At 39.0% G+C, this 12867-nt stretch overlaps 1 protein-coding gene across 7 annotated transcripts in view; it reads right to left on the bottom strand.

The window, feature by feature from the left end:
• The window catches only part of FNDC3B (fibronectin type III domain containing 3B), a 362092-nt gene that overhangs the window by 347677 nt on the left and 1548 nt on the right, over nt 1–12867 (bottom strand). The window lies entirely within an intron of this gene.

The raw sequence follows: 12867 nt of genomic DNA, 5'->3' as shown, positions 1-12867 counted from the left end.
AGCTTCACTACCATTTCTTAACCAACTGTCTCAAATTTTTCCCATTCACTCCATTGTGCTTCTTATACATTACTTTCTATGAAGTACACTTTTATCCTCTGGTTTCTTTCATTCTAAGCTTAAGTTGCTACTACAGAGAACAATCTAGGAAAATCTCCCTCTTGGAAAATGTCCAGAATATTGTTTCAAAAGAAGATTTTTTTTTTTTTTTTTTTTGAGACGGAGTTTCGCCCTGTCACCTAGGCTGGAGTGCAGGGCAATGGCGCAGTCTCGGCTCACTACAACCTCCGCCTCCCAGGTTCAAATGATTCTCCTGCCTCAGCCTCCTGAGTAGCTGGGATTACAGGTGCCCGCCACCACGCCTGGCTAATTTTTGTATTTTTAGTAGAGATGGGGTTTCACCATGTTGGTCAGGTGTGTCTCAAACTCCTGACCTCAGGTGATCTGCCTGCCTTGGCCTCCCAAAGTGCTGGGATTACAGGCGTGAGCCACTGTGCCCAGCCTAGATTTTAGTTTTCTAGACAATAGACAGGTTGAGCACATGGAAGGCATTCAGCTAATATTTAGCCTTAGTATTCAGCCACCTGGGAACACAGACACTGTACCAAGTCTAGAGATACAAATAAGATAATTAACTTGAACTATCGAGAAGCAGTGTGATACAGTTAAAAAAAAGTTTTAAAATCACTCTAAGTGACTTAGGAAAGTTTTTTAATGTTTTTGAGTATGCCTTCTCATCTTTGATTCACTCAATAAACACTTATGGGGGCACTCAATATGTACCAGCTTCTGCGGTGGACACTAGAAACACCTACAGAAAAACAGAATATCTTCCAGAATTACTTTTTAAGGAAAGTGTGTTTGTATATAGATAAATGGATGTATACACACAGACACACACAGAATATACATATGGATGGAATACATATTTACATGAAAATGCCTGGCAAGTAGTGAGTGCTGGAAAATTGTTGGCCACTATTACTGTATTTTACATCTGCCTTGTGGTCAGAGGGTTTGGAAGTACAGTGCACAAAAGTGTCCTCATTTCTAAATAAAACTGCCAATAGCTGGCTATCATTTTACTCCAAGGAATATGATGATTAAAACCTTCAATTTTGCCCTATCTCCTAACTGGAGTCCTTTAATCTAAGCACTATTCTCACCTCTTTCCAGCCATTAGATTGAAAACCTTATAGGGACAGATTACCAAGAGGGCCAACTCCCCAACTCCGAGTTCCCCAAACTTGTCTGATCATATAATTCACCTGAAACACTTGATAAGGATTTCCAGATCCCACCCCAGATCTAAAGAACAAGAGCCTCACAGGCACCGCCCCTCTCCAAACACACAGCCCTATAATGTCCCAGGAGATTCTTCTCTTAACAGTCTTTAACTCCCCCTGCAAATAGCTGAGGTCATTCTCCTCAAGTTCTTTCCAAGGCATGCTCTTTGACCCTTTCTCCATGGCTTAGTTTAGCACTAACCAACACTTGGACAGAATCAACTCTTTCAGCTGGGCCTCCAACAGCTCAGCAAGGCACATTTGGGGGAGGAGAGGGTTTCTGTCCCTTAAAATGTCCTTTCTAGAATTTCACTTATAAAAGGATCATTTAAGGCCAGGTGTGGCTCATGCCTGTAATCCCAGCACTTAGGGACGCCAAGGTGGGCGGATCGCTTGAGCCCAAGACTTCCAGACCAGCCTGGGTAACATGGCAAGACCCCATCTCTACCAAAAAAAAAAACCCACAAAAATTATCTGGGCATAGTGGCATTCACGTGGGAGGCTGAGGGTGGAAGGATCACTTGAGCCCAGGAGGCGGAGGCTGCAGTAAGCAGAGATCATGCCACTGCACCCCAGCCTGGGCAGCAGAGCCAGACCCTGTCTCAAAAAAAAAAAAAAGAAGAAGACAGACAAAGATTATTTTTAAAAAGGATCATTTAAAACTACCACAAATCTCTGAAAAGTTACATTATTTTAAAAAATAATTCCCTTAACTTATAATTTGAACTGACTCCAATAAACAAACAAAATGTACATAATTGAGGGCCCATATTTTCATGGAACATAAATACTGCTTTTTGTTCGAATTTTCCAAATCAATTCACAATCTAATAGAAACATGAAAAAAGTCATGTATTCTCTGAAGAACATTCATTTCTTTAAAATAGCAATGAATAAAAAGCTAGGTTTGCACTACAGGTGACTCATGCCTTTCATCTTCATTTGTTCAATTAAATATTTATTAGTTCCCTACTTTGAGGAAAAAACTGAAGAACACCATGGAAACACAAAAATGCCTCAAATATAGGCCATGTTCCAAAGACAGTAGGTTCTTTAGCGGTGATTTATGAGATTTTGATGCACCCATCACCTGGGCAGTACACACTGAACCCAATTTGTAGTCTTTTATCCCTCACCCTCTTCCCAACCTTTCCCCTTGAGTCCCCAAAGTCCACTGTATCATTCTTATTGAAAGGTGCTAAGTTTAAATGGCACATTCAAACTAGGGATCCAGCTACCCAGCCATCAAATGAATATTTACTGTGTACCCACGATTAAAAGACCCCAAGTTAAATCAGAAATCATCCCTACTCACAAATAAGGGAGACAAGGAGACTATTAGACAACAATGAAAAAGTCAAGTCTTCTGAAAAGTACAGATAAAGTGCTAGAAGATATTTAAGAAAATGTTAAGTTAGGAGAAACCCCATCTCTACTAAAAAAAAAAAATACAAAATTAGCCAGGTATGGTGGCGCATGCCTGTAATCCCAGCTACTTGGGAGGTTGAGGCAGAAGAATTGCTTGAAACCGGGAGGCAGAGGTTGCGGTGAGCCGAGATCGCGCCATTGCACTCCAGCCTGGGCAACAAGAGTGAAACTCCATCTCCAAAAAAAAAAAAAAAAGAAGAAAGAAAATGATAAGTTATCTAAAATGATGGCTCTGGAACATAACAAGGATATGCAAAGAAAAGGGGAGATCATTTTCTTTTGAATAGGCCAAAATCATTTAAGAGCATTCTAAATGCAATGTAATAATTCTTCGTATCACTCCTGGATATGAGGAGACCATGACTCTCAATACCTTTTGATATCCGTAATGATCCTACCGCCAGAGAAATTAGTAGGCCACAAAAATGACAGCTATGGTATGAAAAGCTCATTGAGTGGAATTTGTATCAAGCCATTTATATATACAGCAATATATATACACACACACTATATAAAGAGTATATATAGTATATATACACACTATACACACACACACACACACACACACACACACACACGAAAATATACCCACAAAGGCTGGGCGTGGTGGCTCATGCCTGTAATCCCAGCACTTTGGGAGGCTGAGGCAGGTGGATCACCTGAGGTTGGGAGTTCAAGACCAGTCTGGCTAACATGGTGAAACCCTATCTCTACTAAAAACACAAAAATTAGCCAGGCATGGTGGCACGTGCCTGTAATCCCAGCTGCTCCGGAGGCTGAGGCAGGAGAATCACATGAACCCAGGAGACGGAGGTTGCAGTGAGCCAAGATCGTGCCACTGCACTCCAGCCTGGGTGACAGAGTGAGACACCATCTTAAAAAAAAAAAAGAAAATATACCCACAGAGAGTACATGTACACATTACTATCACACCCTTGCAATCTGACACTGTTTTCCAGGAGTTCTGGAATGAATGGTAAACATTTTGTGGTAGTAAATGGTATGTAATTTTCCTTAAGAACTTACCTGCATTTGAATTTAAATCTTTCCATTAGAATTTTTATCTGACATTTTGAGTATACATACTTTTCATCCGACGTTTAGGCTTTGGTATCCCATCACTTAATGAAAATCTTGCCCATCTTTTGGTAAATGATCCAACTATACTCAACATCAAATACCTCACAAAAAAAAAACAGAGGGAGCAGAACCTACTATGCAATCATTAGATGCCAGAGACAAGTTCAGATGAATAAAACAGAATTTATGTGTTTTCTTTCACTCTATCCCTTTTGTAACTTGGTTTTACAGTCTAAGGAACTAAAGAATTCTAACACCTAATGCATTTCCAACATGAGTACAGAGATGACTTACACCATTTCTCTTAAACAGAAATCAAAGTTTTTCCACAGTACTAATGATGTCAAGAATGAATAAAATGTTTAAAGGTTAGGCCAGGCACGGTGGCTCATGCCTATAATCCCAGGACTTTGGGAGGTAGAGGCGAGCAGATCACCTGAGGTCAGGAGTTTGAAACCAGCCTGACCAACATGGAGAAACCCTGTCTCTACTAAATATACAAAATTAGCCAGGGGTGGTGGTGCATGCCTGTAATCTCAGCTACTCGGGAGACTGAGGCAGAAGAATCGCTTGAACCTGGGAGGCAGAGGTCAGGGTGAGCCGAGATCGCGCCATTGCACTCCACCCTGGACAATAAGAGCGAAATTCTATCTCAAAAAAAAGAAACAAAAAACAATGTTTAAAGGTTAGAAAATGTGACAGGTCCGAGTGTACACCTACTACTGGATTTCTAAATGACTCGCTGTGCTATTCAGGATAGATTATCTTCATGTGCTTACATGGTCTGCCAATATTAACAAACTCCCTGATTCATCTCAATATTAAAATGCCCTTTTTTCCCCTCCAGAGATCTACTTTTAAACATTTTCCTCTTAAATTTAAGTCAGTTAATAAAATAAGGAAACTCTCTGATCTCCAAAAAATGGCCTAGGGAAATCTCCATTTACACTGCAACAGCCAGATGAAGAAAAAATAACTATATACCTGCCTGAAGCAGACCAAGGGGGAGTAAAGAGGCATATGGAGACTGTGTAGGATACATCTTCAATATTTACTTTTGCATTTTTTAATTGTCATAAAATATACATAACAAAAAATTTACCATTTTCTGCATTCAACTTAGTGGCATTACATACATTCATAATGTTGTACAACCATCGCCACTGTTCATTTCCAGAAATTTTTTATCATCCCAAACAGAAATTCTAAACCCATGAAACACTATCTCTCCATCTTCCCTTCCCCCAAGCCCTGGTAATCTCTATTCTACTTTTTGTCTCTATGAATTTACCTATCCTAGTCATCTCATGCAAGTGGATATATACAATATTTATCTTCTTGTGTCCGGCTTATTTCACTTAGCATAATGTTTTCAAGATTCATTCATGTTATGGCATGTATTAGAACTGCCTTCTTTTTTATGGCTGAATAATATTCCACTGTACCAAAATATTCCAATATATAATACCATATTTTGTTTATCCATTCATCTGTTGATGGGCATGGGTTGTTTCTACCTTTTAGGTATTGTCAATAATGCTGCTATAAACACTGGCTTTTAAGTACCTGAGTCCCTGCTTTCTTTTGCGTATAGGAATAGGAATGGAATTGCTGAATCATATAGTAATTCTATGTGTAAATATTTATGAACTACAGAACTGTTTTCCACAGTAGCTTTATCATTTAACATTCCCAACATGCAATACACAAGGATTCCAGCTCAATATATTTAAGTATTCTCTAATTCACTACTTCAGAATAATGTTTACCTCTATTTCTTAATCAGAATTATTTTTCTTGAGATTAAAAAAACCATGATCGAAAAATCAGAAACAGCATCTAAAGACTTTTATTATTTTCTTTCCCATTGAATGACTTAAACAATAAAAGATATAGAAGGTATAGAATGGGTTTTTTAAAACCTTTAAAATACTAAGAGAAAATGAAGCATAATATCCTAGAAATACATTAAGTATCCTATATGTACAACTTGTACTGTTAAAAACTGGTCAAATCTGACCCCTAAGTAGACACATACTAGAAAACCTCGCATCTGAGTGACTGAGTATAAAACGTAAAATATCCAGAAATCTTTTAAAAGAAACTTACTCTTATTACTGGCAAGTTCATACAGTACCTGGAACTAAGCTGCCCAGGAGGATCTTGCTTTAGTAAAAGTAGAGGAGAAGGACATGTAATTACCTTATCTAAATACTAAACTCAGGACTCTCCACAATCTTGCCCAAACACAAAGGCAGAAGAAATGAAGCTAAAAGCAATAATGATGCTCTTAAACCTTTAACACCTGCTGTCCCCAATCTGCCATCAAATGCTTACACATGACAAAAGAAGTTAACAAGTAGCAAAACAAATGTCAATAGAAAAACTCCAAAACCAATAAATAGGCATAGTTGGAGTCTATTGGTAGAGTGGAGTGGGGTGGGGGAGGCAGATATTGTGTTTATTGTTGTGATGTATTTTGCAAGCAAATAATATAGTTCTACCCATTGCTGGTAAACTGTTTGTAGTTCACATAATAGCATTGAGTCAATCAATATTTATTTCATGGCAATCCACAGAGAGCACTGACTTTCCAGGGGCTCCTGTATCTCTATGAAAAGACCACCAGCAGACCAGCATCAGTGAATGCATTCTGCATTTTTACACTGCTTTTAAGTAAATTGATTTTCCCAAGGTGCTTAAAAGTGGTTTGTTCTTTTAATTAGGTAAATATTCCTCTTAAGATCTATTTAAACTTGATATTTACAGTAAAACCTTTTCATACAGAATAGGCAGCCAAACTTTATCCTAGCCTTGCCTAGATAATTGCAAATCCCTAATTAGCTACATCTAGAACAATGGCGTTATTTTTAATAGAGACCCCTCTTTCATAGGCTATGGGGAATCTTAAATCCCTTAAAAATAAATTAAACCATTATATTTCCTGGGATCTTAGAATCTTCAATTATTTCTAAAACATCCCACCTTTGTTCATGTATAAAGATCACTTTCTACACAATTATTTCAACAGAAAGCTTTTCATAATTGTGAGTTAGGATCATGTCAATTTAAGTAAGTTTTTATGACTAGTTGGCCTTTATGAAAATCTTTACTACTCTTTCCAGGGTCAAAACAAAGATGTATCCTTACATTCTAATATAATTTAGAAGCCTTAAAGTCTAACACAGCCTGAAGGTGCTCCAATTTTACTATTTCTCAAATTTCAGAAGGTAGCAAAGAGTTGAACTTACCACCATCCAGCCTTAGGAGTTTGGTGGTAGACACTGTTCTCTATACAAGATTCCAAAAACATCAGAACAGAGTAGAACATTCCATTAACAAAGAACCTGGTCTAGATCTCAACAAATGCATTCTGAGTCAATAAACAAGTAACTGAAATGAAATTACATTTTAAGCTCAAATAGAATCATTTAACACAAGACACACTTTGATACTTACTAGAACCTCAAATAACACTGTGACTCAACACCATCTCAGAAAAATCCCCTACCACCCTGCAAAATGGTTATTTGAAACTGATGAGGTATTTTAATGATATTATAAAAACAAAACAGGGCCGGGCAAGGTGGCTCATAACCTATAATCCCAACATTTTGGGAGGCTGAAGCGGGGGGATTGCTTCAAGCCAGAAGTTAGAGACCAGCCTGAGCCACAAAGTGAAACCCTGTCTCTATAAAAATAAAAAAAAAAACATTAGCCAGGCATGGTGGCGTGAACCTATAGTCCTAGCTATAGCCCTACTCAAGGATCACTTGAGCCCAGGAGTTCGAAGCCATAGTAAGCTATGATAGAGCCACTGCACTCCAGCAGCAGTGAAACACTGTATCTTAAAAAAGAAAAAGAAAAAAAATTAGGAGCCAATGTCTAAACTGACACTGAGTAGTGAGTGCCAAGGGCATCAGAAATTCTGATCCAACACTTACAGAATGCTAAACTTGCATATCTTAACTGGGGAGAAACAAAGAAAAATTCAACAATCGATCCATTTTCAAACTGACAAACATCCTCATCTGTATGTAGATGGCTGATCACGACTGTCTATCGATCTTATGTGATTTATACTTGGTGGTTTTAAAAACATTTCTGTCCCCTGATCTTCAACTGGCACCCCACATACCTTCTGTTTCCAAGAACTGGTCCTTGACATTAAACCTGCACCACAAACAAACTCCCCTCCAGGTGAGCTTGTTACTAGGGTCTGGCATCTCACTGGAGGTACCTTGCAAAGTGCTCAACTACCATCAAGTCATCCTTCCAGTTGGGCCTGTGCTTGTCTACCTGCCCCTATCTAGCCACAATAATTCAAGCATTCTCTCCCTCTTTACAACACATAATGCCATAACCATAATATATATTTTAAGGCAAAGTGTATATATATATATAGAGAGAGAGAGAGAGAGAGAGAGAGAGACACTCAGTAAACTAAAGTACAAAGCTTCTCCTCAACCACCTAAGTGAATTCTCAACAGCCTTAAGAGTGAGAATTAATTTACTTGAAAATAATGTCTTACCATATAAATATCCCACTTAATGGATTAACCTCGTTAACAAGAAGAAAAGGCAATTGTGATTTCTAAAGTGGAAAGGCAGGTAGGTTGCAAAGACTCCCCTACACTGAAAATACGATTCTTTTCCATTCTCAGCTGTAATTGCTGAAAGCTCAAGTAATAGGCTAAGGTAACATACAAGGCCTAAAACCTTATTCCTTTATCATTCAGTACTGAACGTTCCTCTAAGAGACTGCACTTTTTCCCGCCACCTCAAAAACAGCCCTGAATCAAGCCTGGCCTGCCCACTTCAGCAACACTAGCCCAGCTACAGACCAGCTTCCCAAAAACACAGATATGGGACAACTTATGTATAGTACAACTTTGCAGAGGTCACAAATCACCTATTCCATTAGGAGTGGGGTAAAATAAAATACAACATCTAAAGCTTGGACCTTGTTTACTGATCACAAAGAGAAAAATAAATCATTTTTCAAACTGTCCAAGCACAATTTGGAGGTCTCTGAAAATGTGCAGAGAAATACCATAGCACCAGCTCAGTTTTAAACTCTGGAATATAATGAACTATGGAGTTTGTATAAGGCTTTGCCAAACACTTCTCAATACACTGACTCATTAATCCCTTGTGACACCATTTGAAAAGGTACGAGTTAGATCTTTCCTCCTTATATTAAAATGAGGAAACCCAGACTCAGAGAGATTCAAAAGCTTATCAAGGACCCAGCTAGAAAGTAAAGTCACTCCTTGACAGAGGAGATATTCTGATTTCAAACTGATGCTCAGATGTGGCCCTCAATTTTTGTCCATCATTTAAACATCTTTATGCCTTAAGATTATAGTACATTTCTCATTTGTATTAAGCACTTGGGGATGTCCTACAAATCAAACCATATGTCATGGGTTAAATCATGTTTCCTATATTTGTCACACTCACTAGGACACTATAATTCTATTTATAACATGGTTCTTATCCTGAAAATAGTACAGTGGTATCTTATCCTTGAAAATAGTACAGTGGTCCCAATGGTCAGGAATGGGTATGAACAGGATGTTTCAGTTATCTGAACAGTCTCAGTAACTGACGCCTTACCTGCAGTTGAATTAACGATTTTCAAAGAGCTGGAAGCAATGTAATTCACATAACACTAAAATAACATAGAACAATTCAAAGATAATTTACAGACATAGGTCCTCCAGGATATGTCTAGAGTTAAGACTATGAACTGCAATTATCCCAGGACAGTACCATAACTATGGAAGATACAATAGATTCAGATATATTTATACTGAACCTGGCAGTTGCCTCTTAAAAATCCTAATAAAAAGAGATTACATTATAATTTGCCTTTTCCTGAGGGTAGCACACCAAAAAAAAAAAAAAAAAAAGAGTTGGAATTTTCACTATTCCATACAAAATCAGAAAGTTGTTGAAATTCCTTTTAGCAAATGAAACTCTAAAATTCAATGAATTTAAATTAAATCCACTAATCAGAAAATGATTTGAACATCTGCCATCGGACAGATCTTTCTTACTGTTTTAATCTTACACATATTCTTCCCAATTCATGGATGAATCCAATGTGTTTGATATTTGATTTCTATACACTGAGAGTAAAAGAATAATTTTAATTCTTCAGGTTACTTCTGCAGCTACATAAGGAAAAGTGAGTAATGGTTTACTGATACTTACAAAGTCTGAAAAGAACTGTCCAATGAACGGATGGACGCGGGTATGAGAGGATCGTTTTTTTCAGCTTTCTATTAGTGACTTTTCATATTGCTTCCTATTTGTACTCTTATTACACTAAAATAACCAACAAGTTCTGACTACTTTTTCAGCAATTCCTATGCACAATTCCTATATTAAACCAAAAAAGATACAATTTAAAGATTTTTCCACCAGTTTTAACTATGACATGTAAACATTGTTTTTAAAACCAAAGAGTTAACAAATAATGTGCGTATTTTATCCACTCTACATATGAAAGCAAAGTTGAGCTATAGCTAACTCAGTCTTTAAATTCCATTTAAGGGCTGAATGTAACTTCTGATATCGTAGAAGAAAGAAAAATGAACTAAGAGATCTAAAGAGCAGTATGCAGCCTGGACAACCTAGTGAGACCTGTCTCTACAAAAAAACAATAATAATAATAAATAGCCTGGCATGGTGGCGTGCACACCTGTAGTACCAGCTACTGGAGAGGCTAAGGGGAGAGGATCACTTCAGCCTGGGAGGTGGAGGCTACAGTGAGTGAGCCAGTGATCATGCCGCTGCACTCCAGCCGGGGTAACAGAGCGAGAGTCTGTCTCAAAGTAAAATAAAGAGCAATATGACCAAGCTACATGTGAAAGATTTGGGAGTCAAAAAGTTCTACACTTTGCTCTCCAATATGGTAACCACTAGCCACAAGTGGAAATTTAAGTTTAAAATAATTACAAGTAAATAAAACTTAGTCCGGGTGTGGTGGCTCACGCCTGTAATTCCAGCACTCTGGGAGCCCGAGGCGGGTGGATCACCTGAAGTCAGGAGTTCGTGACCAGCCTGGCTAACATGGTGAAAACCCGTCTCTACTAAAAAATACAAAAAATTAGCCGGGCGTGGTGGCAAGCGCCTGTAATCCCAGCTACTCGGGAGGCTAAGGCAGGAGAATCGCTTGAATCCGGGAGGCGGAGGTTGCAGTTAGCCGAGACCGCGCCACTGCACTCCAGCCTGGGCTACAGAGCGAGAATCCATCTCAACCAGCAAGGCGGAGGTTGCAGTGAGCCGAGATTGCGCCACTGCACTCACTCCAGCCTGGGCGACAGAGCGAGACTCCATTTCAAAAAAAAAAAAAAAAACTTAAACTGTTGTTCCTCAGTCCACTAGCTACATTTCAAAGACTCAGTTACATGTGGCTTGTGGCTGCTATGCTGGACAGCACAGACAGAACCATTTCCAACACTGAAGAAAATTCCATTGGATGACACCATTGGTAGCTACGTGATCTTATGCAAGTTACTCTCTCTCTGTAAATCTCAATCCCCTTGTTTGTAAAGTGTGCATAACACAACCTAAATCGAAAATACTAGAATTTTAATGAGATAATGTATAAAAGCACAGGAATTAGTGCTTAGTACACATCAGATATCCCAGAAAGGAGCTATTAACACAATCCTGTATTAAACTTTCGTCTATAATGGTGACCCTCAACAAGTCACTTTCCCTTCCCGGGCCTCATTTTCCAAACTGACAAGTGTGGTAAGTTCTTCTACTTAGCTCCTAATGAACTTATCCATCAAATGCTACCAGGTTAAATACTGAGCAAAAGGAGCACAAACTCCTACTGAGTGAACTGCTACCTAGCCTCCAAGGGCCTAGAGCTTCCTCACAGATCCCAAGCATTCTTCAAGAAACCGCAGAAGACTGGCTCTCCAATATAACCCATCGTCTGATGTGAGCTATTTATAAAGTCTGTATTAAAAGATTACCGGAATATCTTTCTGAAATTGTATATACTGTAATTAGAAGCTACAACCTCCTATTTCATGATGAGATCCTGCAGTTTTAGCATCTTTTAAATGAACGCTATCCTTACAGATGAATTTTTTTTATCTTAAAGTAATTTAAACCACAACACTTTAAAAGCACGTGTGAGTTTAAAAACAATTTTGTAATGACTGATTTTTTTTTTAATCAACTATGCCTCATTCTCAGCCAGCCTGTGGGTGCCCCTCTGGTATCTAAACAAAGTGAGAATTGTACCTTCATGGGTGAGGTCCTTTTGCAGGGCCAGAAACATGCCCAGAGACTTTATCCTCGTTAACAGCTGCTCCCAGGGAGCCAGGAAATTTACTGATCCAGTAAATTTCAGAGTCAGCCTCCAATGAGGGGGAACCAAGGGCCCCCACAAAAGGCACAAAACCAGCGCTCCCGGCTGCTATCCACTGTGGGGCGTTGCCCGGGCACCCAGGTTCATAGCTTTAACTTAGGGGTGGAGGAGCAACTCCGGCAGCAGAAATCATTACAGAGCGAAGCAATTTTGCCCAAGGCCTGAGGCCTCAAAAAAAAAGTGTTATTCCAGAGCAGATTCCTTTTCTTCCGGGTCTGTCTGCTCCTTCTGACTCTTTGCCCACAACCACCGTGCCTCCCCATTCCCAACGCCCCACCTCCTGCCACATTTATTTAAAAAAAAAAAAAAGAAGAAGAACAAGAACAAGAAGGAGGAGGAGGAGAAGAGAAGGAAGGAAGGAAGGAAGGAAGGAAGGAAGGAAGGAAGGAGAGAGAAGGAGAAAGAAAGAAAGAAAAAGAAAGAAAGAAAGAAAGAAAGAAAACGATTTTTAAAAAGCATATTCCCTCTCCCTTAGCTTTCCCTAGGAAGGCCTGGAAACTGAAGGAAATTCAAATCAAATTAGTTGCACATTAAAAAATAAACAGACAAGCAATCAGGGGGTGCCCACCCAACAAAAGACCTCACCCGTTCCAAAATATGATTAAGCCTGGGAGGGAAGAGGGGGAGGGGGGACTAGAAACCAGCAGGGATGGAGAGAGAAACCTGTGGATTTTT

This window comes from Homo sapiens, chromosome 3, assembly GCF_000001405.40.
Source record: "Homo sapiens chromosome 3, GRCh38.p14 Primary Assembly".
NCBI lineage: Eukaryota > Metazoa > Chordata > Mammalia > Primates > Hominidae > Homo > Homo sapiens.
Note: the sequence above shows the minus strand (reverse complement) of the source record. Positions and strands in the feature narration are given on the sequence as shown.